The sequence below is a fragment of the Homo sapiens genome, chromosome 4 (genome assembly GCF_000001405.40).
Source record: "Homo sapiens chromosome 4, GRCh38.p14 Primary Assembly".
Taxonomy (NCBI): Eukaryota; Metazoa; Chordata; class Mammalia; order Primates; family Hominidae; genus Homo; species Homo sapiens.
Window position 1 is genome coordinate 77,331,824 of NC_000004.12, and position 21,333 is coordinate 77,353,156.

At 41.5% G+C, this 21,333-nt stretch overlaps 1 pseudogene, besides 2 other annotated features; it reads right to left on the bottom strand.

Annotated features, from left to right (window-relative positions):
- Positions 976–2,175: an enhancer, noted in NCBI's record as "MED14-independent group 3 enhancer chr4:78253952-78255151 (GRCh37/hg19 assembly coordinates)". NCBI's record gives its function as "activates an origin of replication core promoter dependent on BRD2, BRD4, P300/CBP and CDK7 cofactors, and independent of MED14, by STARR-seq in HCT116 cells {active_cell/tissue: HCT116}" and the evidence as "EXISTENCE:reporter gene assay evidence [ECO:0000049][PMID:35650434]".
- Positions 10,463–11,662: an enhancer, noted in NCBI's record as "MED14-independent group 3 enhancer chr4:78263439-78264638 (GRCh37/hg19 assembly coordinates)". NCBI's record gives its function as "activates an origin of replication core promoter dependent on BRD2, BRD4, P300/CBP and CDK7 cofactors, and independent of MED14, by STARR-seq in HCT116 cells {active_cell/tissue: HCT116}" and the evidence as "EXISTENCE:reporter gene assay evidence [ECO:0000049][PMID:35650434]".
- Positions 18,569–19,355, bottom strand: LOC100421142 (developmental pluripotency associated 2 pseudogene; annotated as a pseudogene).

A 21,333-nucleotide genomic window follows, 5' to 3' on the forward strand; every position in this document is an offset into this window, starting at 1 on the left:
CCAGAAGTTATTTTAGGACCTCTCATGCATGATTAAGAGTGGTGTAAGACAAAAAATGGAGAAAAATAATTCCGTTGACTGAGAAGAAAAGAGCCTTTCTCCAGAAAAACAAGATCCAAGAAGAGAAAAACATAAAAGCCTTTTAAATATACCTATAACTTGAATATACACCCTTAATTAAGCTGAACACTCTTTAAGAAAATCCTTTTAAATCCCTTGTTACTTGACTTTAGCCATACCAAGCAGTTAAGATTTTTGGCTTTTGAACTTTACAAAAAGTAATCTTACAGGTGAAACCGATGAGATTTAATTAGATTATTACTTAATGGCAAGTGTACAAGGTATTTTTAAAGGGGTGATAGGCAGCTTTTGAAACTATTATTTCAAAATTGTGACTGAGACAGTGAAAGAGACCTGACCCAAACAACTTCATTTTGTTTCCAGCCCCCAAGCTGTCCTTGCCCATCCCTGGGAGTAGGCTGAACCAACTTTGGGAGGAGCCTGGTTTACAGTCTATAGTTTAAAACAAAGATAACAACTGCTTCCCAAGATATACTTCCTCTTGCCTGGGGACCAGACCCAGTAAATAGCCACAAGATTAGAAACTATGGCCCAGGAGCCATGCAGCTGGAGGCTACAAGACTTTGGCCCTTGCTAAATAGCTCTTAAGATCAGTGCTTAAGATTTTGTAAACTCTGCCTTTGATGGACCAGCTGGCACCACCCAGATTGACAAACTGGCTTATATGATTTAGCACAAGAAGATAGCCACCATTGTAAAATGGCAGAGACTAAAAGTATTGCCACACAGTTACAGGTCATGTTCCCAAGGCCATGAAACAAGATGGAGGCCTTAGCCAAGTTTATTACTGATAATTTTGTTGGGCTGGCTTCAACAGCAGGCTTTATGGGATTCTGGATGTCAGAAACCCTTTCCCTTGAGGAGAATAGGAATCTGACAAGCCCCCAGATTTTTTAGAAACAAATGCTCGGGGTTGCAAAGTGAAACCAGCACTCAGGCAAAAAGTTTTCTCAGCAAGGCAATTTACTTCTGCAGAAGGGTGCTGCCTGCATCAGCCAGATCACAAGAGCACACTGAACAAAGAAGAGTTTTTATCCCTAACACAGTCTCTATCCCTGTGTCCTTCCCCTATTGGCTAGGGTTGGACTGCACAATGTAACCTGATGCTGATTGGCTAAGACTTAAACTTGTCCAAATAGGGTAAATGCATGATTTGTAAGGGAGGGAAGGTGTGGGAGTCGTCCCTTTGCTGCAGTGCAAGGCATGTTCAGACATGTCTAGGCAAGTCAGGACACAAGAGTGGGAGGGCTGCTCACAGGCTAGAAACAAAGTACAAGGAGGTAGGGCCTCTGAGTCAAGGACAAGGACATTACACAATTAAACCCTTAGAAGAGGAATTCACCATCTCTGGCAATTTCCCCCTTTGTCTTTTGATACTTTTTCCTCTGCAAATTTTTCTAACATAATTCAGCTCTGTTGTTCAACTTGTTCACCTAGGAACAAAATCCTATCTGAGTATGGAGGAGGAGAGGTAGGGGTGGTTTTTGTGAGAACTGTTTCTATAATAAGTCTTTGCATTAACCCATGGATACGGGGTATGATGCAGCATCATACAATGAGTGCACCTGTAACAGTTGCAAGAGAGGTTAATATTGAAGTCAAAAGCCCTTTCCATTTACCAAACCACTTTTCCATGAGACTTGTGAAGGGGTTATTCCGGAATTTTTGGCTAACTAGGGATGAAAGTACAGAATTGGACTCCAATAATAACACAGACTCTGCCATTTTCTGCTAACATGTCAAGGGCTATCATATTCTCCCAGGCCATCCAGCTGGTGGGGCCTAATTGTTCAGTGACCCCTTTAATGGCATCTCTTGTGTAATTGACAAGCTGCTGTTGATTATAGTAAATGTAATTTATCCAATCTACATTTTTGTTTATAGTTGACCACCAGGACAGTGCTGATTTGAATCCTGTAGCTATTTGGTTTCAGGCTTTAAATTAATCTGGTACCCCTCGTGGGATTCCAATAGCATCTATATAAATGTGAGGGTCAAAAGACCTGTGAGGAGCAACCCTTTTTTCCCCAACATCCTTTCCTGTTACGTTGATGGAATGCCAGAGTGAAAGGGATGGCCAATCAGACTAGAGTGCAAGTGCCACTCCAGTTACTAGGCAGAGTACCCAATTGTAGTCCACCACAGTACCACCATACATCTGCTTGAGAATAGACAAAGGCAGCTTGACTGGTAAGCTCTTGGAAAGGCTTGATTTCACTACACCCTTTTAGGTTTCTGAGGGACATTAATCCTTCCCTTTGCCATGAGAGACATGAGGTAAAATCAACATTAGGAGCTGGAGGCTGGATGGCCCATGGGGGCTGAGCTGTGGGGCCTTTAACTTCAGAGAACAGCAGTGAGAGAGTCTTCCATGCCTCATTGTCCCAGGCTGTGGGGTTTTGAAAGAGACTCACCATGCAGCTTATACCTGATTGGTCAGAAGACCCTCCAAGTGGGAAGGGTACTATTTGGGCCTCTGGCCTACCTGCTGCACAAGTGTAACAGTTGCTTTTGTTTAGTGTGCGAACAGAATATTTAATCCATTCCCAGCAGATATTTGCATCTCGGTATCCTGTTTCAATTGCAGGGTTTGTCTTAGATCTTTTACTTCTACAATGTCTACTATGGTTTCATCATGGGGTATGGGAAGAACAGCCATTTGATTAGGATTTAGAAGGAGAGAGAGGTGAAGGAGTAATGAAGCACATCTCAAAGGATCCTGTAGGGTCTATTCCAGGAGCATCAGCTCCTAGGCCATAGAGATCTAGAATGGGGTTAGTGTCGGTAGACTTGGGGACAGTGACAGAGATTTGCACAGGGTTACATTGTTGGAGTTGAAAATTGGAGGGAGTTCTCTCTCTCTGGTAAAGTGGATGTAAGGCTTTAGGTCAGTGCAATCTCCTCCCGGGGAGGTCCAGCCTTGATACTTGGTGGTCCAGACCAAATCTTCCCAACTAGGACAGAACTTCCAATAACTGCTTTGTGCTTGCTTGGTGCAAGAGTCAGTTTTGTAGGCAGTCTTATTTATCCTGGAATGGCAAGGGTACCTTTCTGAAGAGGCAAGCTTTCTTTGGCTTTGGAGATGTCCACAGGGCATGACAAGACAAGCATCAAAGGTAATGGTTTGAGGAGAGCTAGATCTGGTTACATTGATACTAAAGTGTGACTAGCAATAGAAGGGAAAAAGAAATAAAACATAAGAGGATCAAACCTGTTTTAGCTTTAACTTGGTTGGAGCTGGCCCTGGAATAGCTGTCCATGATTGTGGAGGAGGTGGTCTTCCTTTGACCTGAGTGTGATGAGCCATCCCTTTTTGGTGGTGCAGACAGCTGTTCTTGGTCCTTAGAAGCACTAGATAGGATCCCTCCCAGGTGGGCTCGAGCTTCCCTTCTTTCCAACCCTTGATGAGGACGTTGTCTCCAGGCTGGTGGTGGTGAACTGGAAATTCGAGGGGTGGCCTCTGTGCTAGGAGGCCTTTGGTTCTAAGGGAAGAGAAAGTGGAGGATGGACCAAGTATATAGTTTTTGGGGAATAGATCTTTTGTTTCAAATGTAGGAATGTCAGCAGTGGAGTGTAAACAAAGCAACCCAAACAGCATTTCATAAGGGGTAAGCCAACATCTTTTGGAGGGGCAGTTCAGATTCTCAACAAGACAATGGAAAGGCATTTAATCCACGGTAATTGAATCTCTAGGACTAATTTGGTTAGGTGTTTCTTCAGAGTCTAGTTCATTCTTCTCTTCCTGATGAAGGTGGGTGCCAGGGGATATGGTAGTCCCATGTTATATCCAGTACTTGGGCTAGTTTCTTAATGACATTTGTAGTGAAATGAGTCCTATTATCTGAATCAACATTTTCTATTAATCTGAACCTGGGTATAGTATTTTCAACAAATGTCTTGACTGCATTGTTAGCAGTTGGACTTGAAAAGGGTGAATAGCTTCTACCCAATGAGTAAGGTGATCTACTATCACTAATATTTTAAGTGACCGATTGGGGGCATTTTGGTGTAATCAACTTGGACACTTTGGAATGGTCTTAATCCTGGATTTCTCCCAAGAGGTGGTTTTCTGAGGGTCTGCTTATTAATTTTCTTACATACTAGGCAACTATCTGTAACCTGTCTTGCTAAAGTATAAATTCTTATACATTCCTATAAACCCGGAGGCCTGCAACATATGTAGCTTGAGGTCCCCAAATGAGTCCCTTAATGCAGACGAGAGAGAACTTCTCTCATGAGGAGTTTGGATAACATTTCTCTTTGATCTGGTAACACCCATTTCCCTTATGAATTTTCTTTGTTCCCTATTTTTATCTTTTTCAGCGGGAGAAGAAATGGGGATTGCAGTTGGGGGAGGAAGACAAGGGGCTAAGTGAAAAACAGGCATTTCAGAGGAAGTGGCAGTTTGTTTGGCTATTTGATATGCAAGGTTATTCCCTTGGCCTTCAAAAGCGATACCTTTCTGATGTCTTGGAACATGGACAATAGCTATTTCTTCTGGTAACTGGAAGTTATCTAATACCTGAGTGATTAATTCTTTGTGGACCAGGTCTTGGCCTTTGTTAATAAGACCTCATTCAGTCCAAATTTTTCCAAAGGTGTGAGCTACCCCGAAGGCGTACTTGGAATCAGTGTAAATAGTCTCTTCTTGTTCTGCAAGTGCCTTAAGGCTTGATTTAATGCAAACAATTCACATGTTTGGGCAGACCAATTAATGGGCAGTCTTTCTGACTATTTCAAGGGCTTCCCCATGACTACTGGGTACCCATTATGTCTCTTTTCTTCAATTACTCAGGAAGAGCCATCTATAAGTGCTGCCCCATTTTGAAAGGGGTCTCTCTTAAATCAGGCCTAACTTTTGTATGATAATTAAATCTAAACATTCATGCTCAGGTCTCTTTAGATTTGATTCCCAGTCAGGAAACTTGCTGGGTTAAATGAATTATCAGTTGTTAGGGTTAAATCGTGTCTTTCTAACAGGATAGCTTCATACTTTAAAATTCTTGGTCAGTGAGCCATCTTCCTGCCTTCTGATTCAAGATAGTTCTAACCTGATGGGGCATGCTTACAACTAAGTTTCCCCCAAAGGCAAGCTTTCTGCTTACTTTAGTTAACAAGGTGGTAGCTGTGATGGATTGAATACATTCAGGCCATCCACAGGCTACTGGATCTAAAACTCTCAATAGGAAAACTATGAGTTTCTGGTGACCCTATCTTCTTGGTTAAGTACCCCTAAAGCTACCTCCCTATCTATGCTAACAAAAAAGTGAAATGGCTTCTCTAGGGAAGGCAGAGCTAAAACAGGGGCAGTTATGAGCAGATGTTTTAGTTCCTCAACCTGGTGGATTTCTTCAGAAATCCACAGGAGACGGTCAGACTTTTCCTGGATAAGTTTTAGGTATAAAGTTTTTGTTTTTAGGGCATATGAGTCAATCCATAAGTGGCAATATCCAACTAATCCTAGGATTTTTCCTGAGTTCTTGTTTAGTTTTAGACAAAAGTAAGGACACAATCCCTTCAACTCGTTCAGGCCCTACCCTTCATTTGCCCTTGATTATTAAGTGTCCCAGGTATTTAACTTCAGGCTTTATGAATTGAAGCTTTCCCTTTGAAACCCATACCCCCTCCTTGCAAATGGTTAAAGAGATGGATGGAGAAGGCAGTTACCACCTCTACAGCCTTACCAGATACTAGAAGTCATCCATGTACTGGAGCAGGCATATACATTTTGGGGTAGAAACTTGTTGTAACACTTATTCTAGAATTTGACCAAAGAGGTTAGGGGAATCTGAACCCTTCAGGTCGAACTGTCAACCAATACTGTTGCTTTCATCCAGAATGGGGATCTTCCCATTTGAAAGCAAAAATGTCTCAGCTGTCCTTGGGCAAGGGGCGTAACCAAAAGGCATCCTTCAAATCTGTGAACCACTGATGTTCATATGGAATTTTACTGAGAATGGTGTAAGCATTAGGAACAACAGGGTGGGTAGCCTGGACTATCTGGTTGATGTCCTGGAGGTCTTGCACCACTTGATATGAGCCATCTGATTTCTTCACAGGCAGTATTGCGGTATTATAAGGGGACATACAGGGTTCAAGGAACCCATCCTTGATGAGGCTTTCAATTATAGGTTTTAGGCCTATTCTGCTTTCTTTCTTTTTTTCTTTATTATTATTATTTTACTTTAAGTTTTAGGGTACATGTGCACAACATGCAGGTTTGTTACTTATGTATACATGTGCCATGTTGGTGTGCTGCACCCATTAACTCATCATTTAGCATTAGGTATATCTCCTAAGGCTATCCCTCCCCCTTCCCCTCCCCCCACCCCACAACAGTCCCCGGTGTGTGATGTTCCCCTTCCTGTGTCCATGTGTTCTCATTGTTCAATTCCCACCTATAAGTGAGAACATGTGGTGTTTGGTTTTTTGTCCTTGAGATAGTTTGCTGAGAATGATGGTTTCCAGCTTCTTCCATGTCCCTATAAAGGACATGAACTCATCCTTTCTTTATGGCTGCATAGTATTCCATGGTGTATATGTGCCACATTTTCTTAATCCAGTCTATCATTGTTGGACATTTGGGTTGGTTCCAAGTCTTTGCTATTGTGAATAGTGATGTAATAAACATACATGTGCATGTGTCTTTATAGCAGCATGATTTATAATCCTTTGGGTATATATCCAGTAATGGATGGCTGGGTCAAACAGTATCTCTAGTTCTAGATCCCTGAGGAATCGCCACAATGACTTCCACAATGGTTGAACTAGTTTACAGTCCCACCAACAGTGTAAAAGTGTTCCTATTTCTCCATATCCTCTCCAGCACCTGTTGTTTCCTGACTTTTTAATGATCGCCATTGCAACTGGTGTGAGATGGTATCTTATTGTGGCTTTGATTTGCATTTCTCTGATGGCCAGGGATGATGAACATTTTTTCGTGTGTTTTTTGCCTGCATAAATGTTTTCTTTTGAGAAGTATCTGTTCATATCCTTTGCCCACTTTTTGATGGGGTTGTTTGTTTTTTTCTTGTAAATTTGAGTTCATTGTAGATTCAGGATATTAGCCATTTGTCAGATGAGTAGGTTGCAAAAATGTTCTCCCATTCTGTAGGTTGTCTGTTTACTCTGATGGTGGTTTCTTTTGCTGTGCAGAAGCTCTTTAGTTTAATTAGATCCCATTTGTCAATTTTGGCTTTTGTTGCCATTGTTCTTAGTGTTTTAGACTTGAAGTCCTTGCCCATGCCTATGTCCTGAATGGTATTGCCTAGGTTTTCTTCTAGGGTTTTTATGGTTTTACGTGTAGCATGTAAATCTTTAATCCATCTTGAATTAATTTTTGTATAAGATGTAAGGAAGTGATCCAGTTTCAGCTTTCTACATATGGCTAGCCAGTTTTCCCAGCACTGTTTATTAAATAGTGAATCCTTTTCCCATTGCTTGTTTTTGTCAGATTTGTCAAAGATCAGATAGTTGTAGATATGTGGCATTATTTCTGAGGGCTCTGTTCTGTTCCATTGGTCTATATCTCTGTTTTGGTACCAGTACCCTGCTGTTTTGGTTACTGTAGCCTTGTAGTGTAGTTAGAAGTCAGGTAGTGTGATGCCTCCAGCTTTGTTCTTTTGGTTTAGGATTGACTTGGCAATGCGGGCTCTTTTTTGGTTCCATATGAACTTATAGTAGTTTTTTCCAATTCTGAGAAGAAAGTCATTGGTAGGTTGATGGGGATGGCATTGAATATATAAATTACCTTGGGCAATGTGGACATTTTCATGATATTGATTCTTCATATCAATGAGCATGGAATGTTCTATTTGTTTCCTTTTTTATTTCATTGAGCCGTGGTTGTAGTTCTCCTTGAAGAGGTCCTTCACATCCCTTGTAAGTTGGATTCCTAGGTATTTTATTCTCTTTGAAGCAATTATGAATGGGGGTTCACTCACGATTTGGCTCTCTGTTTGTCTGTTATTGGTGTATAAGAATGCTTGTGATTTTTGCACATTGATTTTGTATCCTGAGACTTTGCTGAAGTTGCTTATCAGCTTGAGATTTTGGGCTGAGACAATGGGGTTTTCTAGATATACAATCGTGTCATCTGCAAACAGGGACAATTTGACTTCCTCTTTTCCTAACTGAATGCCCTTTACTTCCTTCTCCTGCCTGATTGCCCTGGCCAGAACTTCCAACACTATGTTGAATAGGAGTGGTGAGAGAGGGCATCCCTGTCTTTTGCCCGTTTTCAAAGGGAATGCTTCCAGTTTTTGCCCATTCAGTATGATACTGGCTGTGGGTTTGTCATAGATAGCTCTTATTATTTTGAGATACGTCCCATCAACACCTAATTTATTGAGAGTTTTTAGCATGAAGGTTGTTGAATTTTGTCAAAGGCCTTTTCTGCATCTGTTGAGATAATCATGTGGTTTTTGTCTTTGGTTCTGTTTATATGCTGGATTATGTTTATTCATTTGCATATGTTGAATCAGCCTTGCATCCCAGGGATGAATCCCACTTGATCATGGTGGATACGCTTTTTATGTGTTGCTGGATTCGGTTTGCCAGTATTTTGTTGAGGATTTTTGCATCAATGTTCCTCAAGGATATTGGTCTAAAATTCTCTCTTTTTGTCGTGTTTCTGCCAGGCTTTGGTATCAGGATGATGCTGGCCTCATAAAATGAGTTAGGGAGGATTCCCTCTTTCTCTATTGATTGGAATAGTTTCAGAAGGAATGGAATCAGCTCCTCCTTGTAATTCTGGTAGAATTTGGCTGTGAATCCATCTGGTCCTGGACTTTTTTTGGTTGGTAAGCTATTAATTATTGCTTCAATTTCAGAGCCTGTTATTGATCTATTCAGAGATTCAACTTCTTCGTGGTTTAGTCTTGGGAGAGTGTAGGTGTCGAGGAATTTATCCATTTCTTCTAGATTTTCTAGTTTATTTGCGTAGAGGTGTTTATAGTATTCTCTGATGGTAGTTTGTATTTCTGTGGGATCAGTGGTGATATCCCCTTTATCATTTTTTATTGTGTCTATTTGATTCTTCTCTGTTTTCTTCTTTATTAGTCTTGCTAGCGGTCTATCAATTTTGTTGATCTTTTCGAAAAACCAGCTCCTGGATTCATTGATTTTTTGAAGGGTTTTTTGTGTCTCTATTTCCTTCAGTTCTGTTCTGATTTTAGTTATTTCTTGCCTTCTGCTAGCTTTTGAATGTGTTTGCTCTTGCTTCTCTAGTTCTTTTAATTGTGATGTTAGGGTGTCAATTTTAGATCTTTCCTGCTTTCTCTTGTGGGCATTTAGCGCTATAAATTTGCCTCTACACATTGCTTTAAATGTGTCCCAGAGATTCTGGTATGTTGTGTCTTTGTTCTCGTTGGTTTCAAAGAACATCTTTATTACTGCCTTCATTTTGTTATGTACCCAGTAGTCACTCAGGAGCAGGTTGTTCAGTTTCCAGGTAGTTGAGCAGTTTTGAGTGAGTTTCTAAATCCTGAGTTCTAGTTTGATTGCACTGTGGTCTGAGAGACAGTTTGTTATAATTTCTGTTCTTTTACACTTGCTGAGGAATGCTTTACTTCCAACTATGTGGTCAATTTTGGAATAGGTGTGGTGTGGTGCTGAAAAGAATGTATATTCTGTTGATTTGGGGTGGGAGTTCTGTAGATGTCTATTAGGTCTGCTGGGTGCAGAGCTGAGTTCAATTCCTGTATATCCTTTTTAACTTTCTGTCTCGTTGATCTGTCTAATGTTGACAGTGGGGTGTTAAAATCTCCCATTATTATTGTGTGGGAGTCTAAGTCTCTTGTAGGTCACTAAGGACTTGCTTTATGAATCTGGGTGCTCCTGTATTGGGTGCATATATATTTAGGATAGTTAGTTCTTCTTGTTGAATTGATCTCTTTACCATTATGTAATGACCTTCTTCATCTCTTTTGATCTTTGTTTAAAGTCTGTTTTATCAGAGACTAGGATTGCAACCCCTGCCATTTTTTGTTTTCCATTTCCTTGGTAGATCTTCCTCCATCCCTTTAGTTTGAGCCTATGTGCGTCTCTGCACAAGATGGGTTTCCTGAATACAGCACACTGATGGGTCTTGACTCTTTATCCAATTTGCCAGTCTGTGTCTTTTAATTGGAGCATTTAGCCCATTTACATTTAAGGTTAATATTGTTATGTGTGAATTTGACCCTTTCATGATGTTAGCTGATTATTTTGCTCGTTAGTTGATGCAGTTTCTTCCTAGCTGAGAGTCCAGGTTTATTCGTCACACCAGGTAGGTCCCGATTCCTCACCCTGAGGCCACCACAATGAGGCAGTGGCATGCATCTCCTCATGAGAGGTGACCAGAGACCCTTTCCCTGGAGGAGAATGGGAATCCCACAAAAGCCCCTAGATTTGTTAGAAACAAATGCTCAGTGTCGCAAAGTGAAACTAGCACTCAGGCAAAAGGTTTTCTCAGCAAGGCAATTTACTTCTGCAGAAGGGTGCTGCTTGTCTCAGCCATGATTGCAAGAGCACACTGAACAAAGGAGAGGAGTTTTTATCCCTAATGCAGTCCCTATCCCTGTGTCCTTCCCCTATTAGCTAGGGTTGGACTGCACAATCTAAAGTCATCCCAGTTGGCTAAGACTTAAACTTTTCCAAAAAAGGTAAATGTGCAATTCATAAGGGAGGGAGGGGGTGGGAGTGGTCCCTCTGCTACAGCACAAGGCATGTTTGGACATGTCTGGGCAAGTTCAGAGCATAACAAGAGTGGGAGGGCTGCTTGCAGGCTAGAAACATAGTACAAGGAGGTGGGGCCTCTGAACCAAGGACAAGGACATCACACAATTAAACCCATTGAAGAAGAATTCACCATCTCTGGCATGGGCCTGCACCCTGACTAAGATACCCTTTCTTTGACAGGACCATGCAGAAAGACATGCAAAGCACACCAGATTGTCTACAGCTTAAGACCAACCTTATAAATCCTTTATCATTAATTATACATTTACAGAAAACATAAACAGTGATCCTTATTATCACTTTTACTGGTATGTGCAGGGAGAGAATCCAAAATCCAGCTGAGTAGTAAGAAATTTTTACCCTTTTGCTGCCAGCATATTAGGCTTCTGGGTTCCCTTCCCCTTAGTTCAACTTTAAGCCAAACATTTTAAGGTTTGGAGAATTAACTTTTCCCAAGTTGAAAGTACACAAAGAAAAGATGCAATTTTAAACCACAAGAGAAGGAAAAACACCATAGAAAGGAGTTCTACTAAGGGTTAAGAGGTAATACCTCTCTTCCTGTTGGGAATGGTGTTTCCCCTATTTCTTTGCCTTCCCTATTTTCTCTTTTCCCTTCTGGCCTACTATAGGAGACATATTGCTTATCTCCAAAATTTTCTTCTGCTTGCGGAACTGCCTATTTTAGCTAAAATGAGGGTTTGACTTTGCAGCAACATAACCTTCCCTCCATGTGAGATCAAATACCTGAGTTAAATTTTGGAAAGCTTCCATGTATCTAACAGGTTCATCAAAAGATCAGCCTTAGTTTCTCTTTACTTGCCTAAGGTCCTGCAATGAGAAGGGAACTTTAAGGAGCGCCAAATAAGGGAGACCCTTAGATGACTTCCCTGAAAGTTACTTTAATTTTGGGAACTATTTTCCCCGAGCCTGCCCGATATGGCCACAAAAGAAAATAAGCCACTTTTTCTTCAGAGTTTCAAGGTTGAAGGAGTCCCAGTGCTTCAACATATACTCCAGGGCATTTGTCAGAGTGGTGAGTATGGGAGCAAGCTCAAAATCTGTTCTATCATTCCAAGATGCTCTTCACCTCTATATTAAATCAAATAAATCAATGGGCGTCTGTTAGCCTAGTACATATGCTTAGCCTTGGCTGCTGTACTCAAGTCATGGATGTGAGGCTTGCTGGGGAGAACACGGAGAACCCCCTTTACCCATGGGGTATTGGGAATGTTGGCCATGTTTGAACTAGCTTATTTTCATGGGGGATCTTGCCATCACGCAAGGCTGGGAAAAGTCCTGAGGCAACTGAGAATTTCTGGCCAGGGCATGCCCAGGTGTGATTCAAAGGTCTCCGGACCGGATGTAGCCTCTGACAACCAATTCTGGGTGTTGGCAGAGAACCTCAACTATCCTGGTGCACAACTCTTCTCTCTCTATCTGCAGCCTCTTACTCTTTCTCTGCATGAAATGTGCAAGATTTTTACAGTCTAGAAGCAGAGTTTTCCCCTTTCCCTCCCGCAGTGAGGTTAGTTGCTACCACTTCTCTGGTAAGCACATTGTGTTTCTCAGCACAAGGCATGTTTGGATATGTCTGGGCAAGTCTCAGCCAATGCACCAAAATGGTACAGTTCCTATGAGTGGAGAACACCAGGTTCTTCATCTTGAGTTGAATTAGAAAAAATGACATGGACACACATGGAGTAGTTTTAAGGTGCAGGGAGTTTAATAGGCAAGAAAGAAGGGGTAAGGAAGAAGCTCCCCTGTACAGAGACAGAGGGAGGAGGCTCCAAAGCTGAGAGACAGAACCCTCAAGAAGTCTTCTATATATGTCACTTCAACTTAAAACTGCAAGTGTGAATATTTGGACTTAAAGAACATTTGGTTTGGGTCAGGTCCCCCTTTTACTTAACTGCCTAGTTACTTGCAGAGAGTCCATTTTTGAGACTTTTTTTAATCCCTCAGTAACCTAATCTATAAAATAGCAGCAAGAGAACATATGAGAAAGTACTTTGAATACAATAAGCTGCTTCTCAAAGGTACACATGCTTTTTATAGAATAACAGAAAATTACCTGGAGCAGTTTTCTGGCTTTCCTCAATGGGTTGGACATTCTGTTGACCCTGTGGTTAAACAATTAGGTACCAACATGAGACAAGACCCTATTACATGCTGGAAGGAAACCACTATAAAAGCCTAAGAACCTGAGCTTTCGTTTCAAAAAGCAAATTCTCCTAAGTCCTCTGTGTAACAGCTCTAGCTTACACTTTGGTCTCAAACCACCTTTCTCATACTACAGTATGTGGTAGTCTACATAATTGACACTCTAATGAAATTAGTGGTAAAAGGCACTAAGTTTCTTATGGTCAAATTTAAACCACACATGCAGACTCCACAAATACCAGAGGCATGCATGAAAGCTCTGAGTGGGTCAGGTAAAACAAAGGGAAGTAAATGTGTGACACATGGTCATGCAGCAATCTTGGTTAATGGCAGTTGAGAGAAAATCAAAGATGCTTCTTCCTTGGCAACCTTATTGAAAATGGGACTGCTTCCTTCCTTCATCACAAGCCTACTCCATATCCTGCTTTGTTTTCTTCATAATACTCACCTGTCTCTATTTGAATGCAAATTGTGGGAGGCCAGGGACTTACTGTTCAGTGCTGTATCCTAGGTGCCCAGGATCATGCTTGCCCAGCACTCTGTAGAGGTTGTGTATTGTTGGGATGTAGCAGTCAGGCAGTCGGGTGTGTTACCACTAAAAGTACCACATTTGTCATTGCTTAAAAAAGGGATTTCAGTGCTTTTGATTACTGACCCGGATTCCCTAGAAAGTTGATCCTGAAACTACTTCTGTGCTTCTGTGTATTGGGGAAAGGGGTAAACGGGACAGCAAGGGTGAGGGGATAAAGTGAGACAGGAAAAGAAGTTAGGTGACTTCAGCTGCTCACAGCTTTACCAGAAAAAAACACAACTGTTTATCGTGGCAGGCAAAATGAAACACTATTAAAACACTTTGTGAAGGGGGGTAGATCAAATCTTCCATTCTAGTAGTATACAGCTAAACTTCTTAGACTTGATGCCTTGATGTATATTAAGGCTACTAGATTAATAGAAGCTTATTTCTGAATTGAAACGATAAAATTGGTAATGACATTCTCAGGTAATCTTGTCTTGACTTTCAACTACACTAACTCTCATTGATTTCCAGTATCCCATGAATTTATGCTAAAAATGATATACTTAAAATGGAAGGGATAAGTTTGAATAGTACTATAAAAATCCAGGTTGACAATGTTATTTCTCTAGAAATACTACAAGTCACAAGTGTAAACCCTACCATCTTACTTATGCTCTCTGTTCTGCTTTTGTGCTTCAACTCTGCTTTCCCTGAGTTTATAAAAAGAGGGAAAGCAGAAGAGCTGCTACCAAATGGGATCATATTCTTTTTGATGTAGGACTTCTCACAGCTTTGGCTCTCGAAGTTATTGAGATGACGTTTGGGGTGTCAGGTGTCTATAAGAATTGACTGCCTGTGAAATGGAGGGGAAGGCAAGATTAGGGAGAAAAGTCAACTGATATGGGCTGGACCAAGTATTCACTAAGCTGGTGGGGAGTTCAAGAGCTAGTATTCCCCGTTTTCCTGAATCAGGCCATGATGGTTGGGCCCAAGAAGGAAGAACATTCTGCAGAGGCTTCAGGAAGAAGTTTTAAAGGTGGGAGTAGGTTACCCAAGTCAGAAGGATGTGAAAAGACTGAGAGGCTAGTATAGATAGAAGCCCTTATTAGATGTGAGTACAGTGGGAAGGCATAGGGTAAATAGTGCCAGGTAAAGTGTGTGTTGTGGGAAGGACTTCACCACCTAGGATACAGCTGCTGGAAGAAGTGAGGTGCTATGGCTATGAGGGAATGGGGGACTATTTACCCACCAACCTCTTAAATGCCTCCTGTTGTCCAACCCCACTGGAAACAAGAGGACAAAGGACCACATGTGATGCAGTTCATAAACAATTGGCACATCTGGGCATAGAGCAGGGCAAAGGAGGATGAAATGTTTATGAAGGAAGCAAGTAGAGAAAAACATCTGGGTTTCATGTTGGAGAGAGAACCAGTGGTGATAGACTAGAAGAGTCCTAAAGGAATATATAGGGTACAAGTCCGGGACGGAAGCAGTTTTTGGGAAGAATGGGTTAAGCTAAAGGGAAAATAGGCCTAGAAGCAGATGAACAGCAGAAAGTGTTCAGGAGCGGGAAGACCTGAGTGTTGGGGAACAGATGCTGAAGGCTGACACAGAGCAAAGATGCAGAGAGTCAGCTTCTATGTCAATGTTAAATACCTTAGAGGGTGGCTTGAGGGCCACAGTAGAGGATGTTTTCTAAGTATGGTTTTCACAACCAACACTATATTCATTTTTTCTTATGCATGAAAAAATACATCAGTTTAAAAAAAGTAGGAGGCTTAGCATGTCTTTGACTTCCCTGTCAGTACGTCTTAACACATACAACTTCTACTGTAACATAGAAGCATTTTTAGGCCTCTTACACTCCTCCAATTCTTATCTTAATGTTGAGGATAAGTGATTAAAGCACAGCAAATTACACAATATGAAGGTATTGCCAGAGTGTAGCAGGATAAGTGCAGACAAAATCCCTCAGATACCGGGTTAAAGAAGGAAGAGGCTTTATTTGGCTGGAAGTATCAGCAGACTTGTGTCTCCAGAACTGAGCTCCTCACCAAGCAGTTCCTGGCCCTTTTTAAGGGCTTACAACTCTAAGGGGTCCACGTGAAAGGGATTGAGCAAGCAAGGGGTACGTGACTTGTTGGGGTGGGGGGGCGGTGAGCAGGATCAATGCTTCTAGGAGAATGTTTCTCTATACTATGTCTGAAATCTATAGATAACGCATGTGGTTAGAGCAGAGGTTAATTTTTAACCCCAGGTCTGGCCAGTGGTGCCAGTCAGTCTTGCCACTGACTTCATCCCTGTTGCTTTTCAGCTTTTACTTCCTCCTCCTCTTGGGAGACAGGAGACAGTAAGAAATGGCTCTTCTCCTCACAGGGACACAGCAGAGAAGATAGCAGCTCATTGGCAGTCTCTGCTGCACAAGAGTGCAGTGGAATTTGCTGGTGTACACCCACAGGTTCAGTCTAGGGCACTTTTAATTTATGTAGTGGCTTTTCTTTAAAAAAAAAAAACCTCGCTAAATGCACAACAAATATGCAGATGGTGACTTCAGCAAGAAATAAAATCACTACTGAACAGAATGACTAATGACAAATTTGAATCTTTAGCTCTTTCAAAGATGCTGGAAAACATTAAGGAACACTAGCTTGCACCTTCTACTAGTCCAGGCAGTTCTTATAGGACCCTGTATGCTTTCTCCTTCCTGGGGTTTTAAGGTTTCCAGATACAGTAACATGTAGTTGATAGGCAGACAACTTCCCCTAGATAACTTATTAGGCCATTAAAAGTAATGACAAAAAACAACAATTACTTTTGCACCAATCTGGTGTTACACTAAGAACAGTTACCCTGATTATTCTCCATGGTTGTTGATAAACACCATTAAACCATTAAATTTATACAGAAAATGCATCTACATATTCCCCAGGTATAAAGAAAGATGGACCAGTAGAAAGAAAAGTACCATTCCAAGCATCTCAGTGGTAGGAAGATGGATATCTGGTATCTCCTCTCCCTTGACCAGTTGAGGGGGCTGTGTTGGGATCCTCCCTGGTCTCTCTGAATAGATAAAACTATATATACTCCATAGTATATATATTCCATAGTAGATGCATAGACTCTAGACAATTGATAACCCCCAGTGGGAACTGTTTCTCCTGAACTCAGGAGGAAGGGCCAACTTTGTTTTTTTTGTTTTTTTTTTTTTAGACACGTGTTTAGGCTAGATAGGTAAGACAAAGAACTCCCTAGATGAGCCAACACTAGGCAGGAAACCAGACCAGATGGTAAAATAACTAGTACCCAGGGTGAGAATACCAGAAGAAATTGTGAAAAATTAGAATAAATCATCTCCCATATTAGAGGAGCTGAAATGGGCAGCACAATTCAGGGGGCTCCAGGGTGCTTTTGTGCTACCTAGTGTACTGTTCTCAGGACACTTTGAAACTTGCAGTATGTTTGGCTCCTTCAGCTTTGCCTAGGCATTTAGTGCAGCTTGCATCCAGATGACTATTTTTTGGGTAAAGGCCTGTGTTTAAAAATCACTGGTGTCCAGGGGTTTCCATTTCTTGGTAATGAAGACCACTGCAGTGTGTTGGGGGTGGGGGTGGCTTTCAGTGTAGATCTGCCAGTCCCTCTTCAGGACACACTGAATCACCTATAACTTAGTGTAAGCCTGAGAGGAGTCTACACTGTGGAAGCCATAAGGAAGTATAAAGGCCTTGCTAGACAGTATGTAGCATCTAGAACAAAGAGTGGTAAAATTCAAGAGGCAGACAAGTGAACCAGACCATAAGTCTCTGGGGATGGCAAGTGGTGGGAAGGTAAACATGTGATAGACAAAGTCTAGTTAGTAAAGTCTATTTTACAAGCTCCTTTATTCTTATGGCTGATTAGAAACTCTCCTGTCATAGAGGTGGGGATTTGTTCCTTCTCCTTTGGATCCCAGTGCTGAACCATCTCGTGAGTTATTCTGCCTGAATTGAGAATCTCATTGTTGAGTGAATGTTGATTGACCTGATCTTTCCTGATGCTTTTTGTATGCATCCTTCAGTCATGTTTCTAGAATATCACCTGGTATTGGATTCCCCTATCTGTGATTCAGCATGGTTGAGCTGGTCTCTACATGATAAAATGCTGCAGAAGCAAGATGTAGGAATGCTATTTAATTTTGAAGCATCCAGATGTCGAGTTACTTTGGCATAAGGAAACCATTCAGATCCTACAGTCTTCAAGAGACTCTCATGCATTTCTAAACTTAAGTATTTCATCAGTTACTTCAGGGATAAGAATTTGCATGGCGTCAGTCTCTAAGGAAGTTCTTAATTGTGACCAGTGTTGTCACTTGTGTTTCACTTGCAACAAGATAATTTTGGACTATGAATGGTTGCCCAACATCTGTCCTTAGTCGAGAGTATTCTGATCAGGGTTCTATGGCACCAGTTATACACTGCTATCTTAGACATATGTGTAGCCACATCAAGATGTGGGTAATTAATATACATATCACTGATTTCTGCAGCAGACTTGAGTGGATTGAACCAGTCCTCAGAAGCTGAGTTGTCTCTTGAATCACAAAAGAGCAATGAAAATACTAATTGCAGGATGGTAAAGACCAAGTCGGTGAGTTGAATCATCAGTGACTGCAATTCTGCAGGACTCAGTTCCATAGCCTGTAGGGAGCCAAGTAACAGTGCCATCAGGTTTACTCATGAATTGGCACAGGAAAATGCTTCCAAAATGAGGGTATGACACTGCATACCATATTTATGTACATAGTCAGTGGTGAAAGCTGTCTCCTCAGATTGTTATATGGGATCAACAATTGCAGGCACATGCCCCTCTGTAGCAGGGGGAGTGGCATGGACAATTTGTAATGATTGGTAAACAGTTCAAGTACAATTGACCCTGCCACTTTCTCTGTAGCACAAATGATCAGCTTCTGAGCTCTTGACTATGTGAGCTTTCCTTGTATCTGCTTTATTGCCTTCCACTCACAATCATGTACTTTAGCTGAAGGACTTTCTGGGGTGGCATACTGTGGTCTTCTACATTGTGTTCAAACCAGGTTGCTTTTCCTTCCCTTTCATCTTCATTTCTCTTAGCAAATTCAGGGCATAACATAATCTTCTAGGTTTGGGAGTGGGAAAGGGCAGGCTGGTAACAAGAAGGGAAAAGCCCTTCTCCAGGGAGTGTTGGGCACCCAAGTCAACCTGCATGGAACTATAGGTGAACCCAACCCTTTGTGTCTGTAGTGAAGTTTCCCACAAACTATACACCAACACTTGAGCCAGAAACTTGCAGCAAAAAGCCTTGAATATGTGAAGGAATAAAATGAGCCTTTATAGTTTTGGCGTCAATGAGTCTTGCAGCAATTATTGCCTGTGGTGCCAACATGGCCTCCCAGCTCTTCAAGTATCAGTCTCTTCCTCTCTTGCTCACCAGACTTTTTTGAAGCCTTGCTGTCCTGGTCGTGGGCAGTCATATATGACTAGAGCTGGCCCCTCATGGTGTTGCAGGAATATCCTTGATGCTTTTACCTTGTTCTTCACTCATGTTTGTTCTGGGTAAGCATACTTCTGGAGTCTCATAAACAAGTTGTCTATTGGTCAGACAAAATTGTTGGTGCCAATTCTGCAAAGTATCCTGGTGCATCTTGGCAACCCACCTTATTAATTGGAGGCAAAATATTTGGCAAAGGAAGGACTAGTATGTTACAACCCGGTTTTGGGCAAGGTTGGAGTTGGTCATTTATGTGAGGAATACAAATTTTATAATTTCTAAGCTGCATCACTTTGAAATCTGCAGTTGAAACACTTGGTTTTGTTTTCTCTAGTTTCTCTTTATATGGATGCAATGTGAAAATCACTTTTCTCGGTTCTCGATGCTATTGTAATTTGAGTCTGACACGTTTGGGGAAAAAACAGAAGTCAGCAATGTTTGGTAGAAGCTTAAATGAAATGGCAATAGCATGCAAACTGGAGAATTTACCAAAAGGTCAAGGTTAATAACATGAACACTTGTAGGAGACTTAGAGTTACTGAGATCCCAGTAAGTCTGGACTCAATGAGCCTCCAATCAAATGTGAATTCTGGCCTCATTGGTCAGTATGGCTTTCTCTGGACACTTCAGTTTTGGGTGCTCATTGAGCTGCTTCTTGAGGCATCAATGAGAGCCATGGGTAGAGGGCTACACCCACGACATGAGTTCACTTGGATCAAGAGAAAGATACTCCTTGTAGTGGAACATAAGACCAGAAATAGGAACACAAAGTAACAGGCCCAGAGCAAATGGGAAGTGGTAACTTGATAAATGTTGAAATAGTTGGTTCGGAAGGGTAGTGGGGACTATCTTCTGGAATATGATTAATAAACCTCAGAACACATCAATATGGAATAAAGTTAATACCCATAGTGCTAGAGTAATGCAGGAATGGGCCTAGTTATCTTCCTGACTTGGATGGTTCTCTCCCTGTAGACTTGAATGTCTACATGGGTATACATGCTTGCATTTATGGCTGAATCTATTACAGTGCTTCAGTTTTAATGGAAACTAAACTCCTCTACTGCCAGCATATGTCATCTTACATGCAGCTGGCAAGTTGGGATTAGGTGTTGATAAGTTCCAGGGATGGGGAGGAAATCCTGTGAAGTAAATGCCTCCAGATAGTGGAACTATTTGAGGCTCTTCAGGTACATTGCAAGGTAGCTATTCCTGTGAGTTTGGCTGGCTTTTCTAGAATTGAAGGGACTTGTTGTAGTCAACTTGATACCAAGTGTTGTGTTGGTCTCCTTATCAGAGTTCTATATTTGGATTCAATGTTTGTCTCTGAAAGGCTGTGGAAGCAGCAGTAGCTAGATTGCCCTAGAAACTAGTATTTTGATGCTGTTGGGCAACTGTGTAGCTTCCATCTCTGCCACCATGGCCTGTGTTCACTTGGTGGCTTACTGATTAAAAACTAGCAGAGCTATTCCATCTGGGTCATCCAGTGAGTCTTCTTTAGTTGCTTTGCAGTGGGTCATAATACGTGACATGAAACCTCCATGTCTCTGCATGTACTTCTCATAGACTTCCTTTTCTTTGGCTATGTAGTCAGTTTCTATTCAGTGTACTGACCAGAAACAAGACCACTGGCCTCAGATCAGGGTATGTTCTCATCTTAGGCCTCATGTCATCCCTGTTAAAGTAGATTCATAATGAGCTAGCTTGAGCTGTCATTTATTTTCCCTAAAGGTGGGGCCTTGGGAGATGTATTTTTCTTGGTGCTCTAAGCATAGCCAAGAAGCTCTGGAGTGTTGGAAATAGTGTTCTCAGTTAGCATTTAGAGCATAAGTTGGTCTCTTACTAATCCACAAACATCTTGGTTTTGCTGACAGAGGCTTATAAATTCTCAAATGATATCATATTCAGGAACATATCTGCTTTTGGTGTCTTGGCCCTTCTGATAAAGGGGTGATAATGAGGACGCTTATGAAGTACACTGATTCTCATCTACTACAAATGTTGAAAGTAGGCTGGCTCTGGTATTCCTGGTTGCGGTCAGTAATGCCTAGGCTTGTTTGCAAAGCCATAAGCTAAGAGTTAATGAGGAAATAATGAGGTCACTATTGTTGGGCTGTGGGTGGTGGAAAAATGGATGTCTTGCTTAGGTGGTATTCCCTGACTTCAAGCCCTCTTCCTTTTGTACTAAGTGAAACTTGCTGTCATTATTCCTGTCTGTAGAATGGGATTGAAATCTGTAGTGACTTAGACCTCTGATTCTTTTACAAGACTTTCTGTACTGAGAGAACATGAAGAACCATCTTCCCAGTTTCCCAGGAAGGCAGAGTTCCCAGGCTAAAAAGAGCTCTACAGAA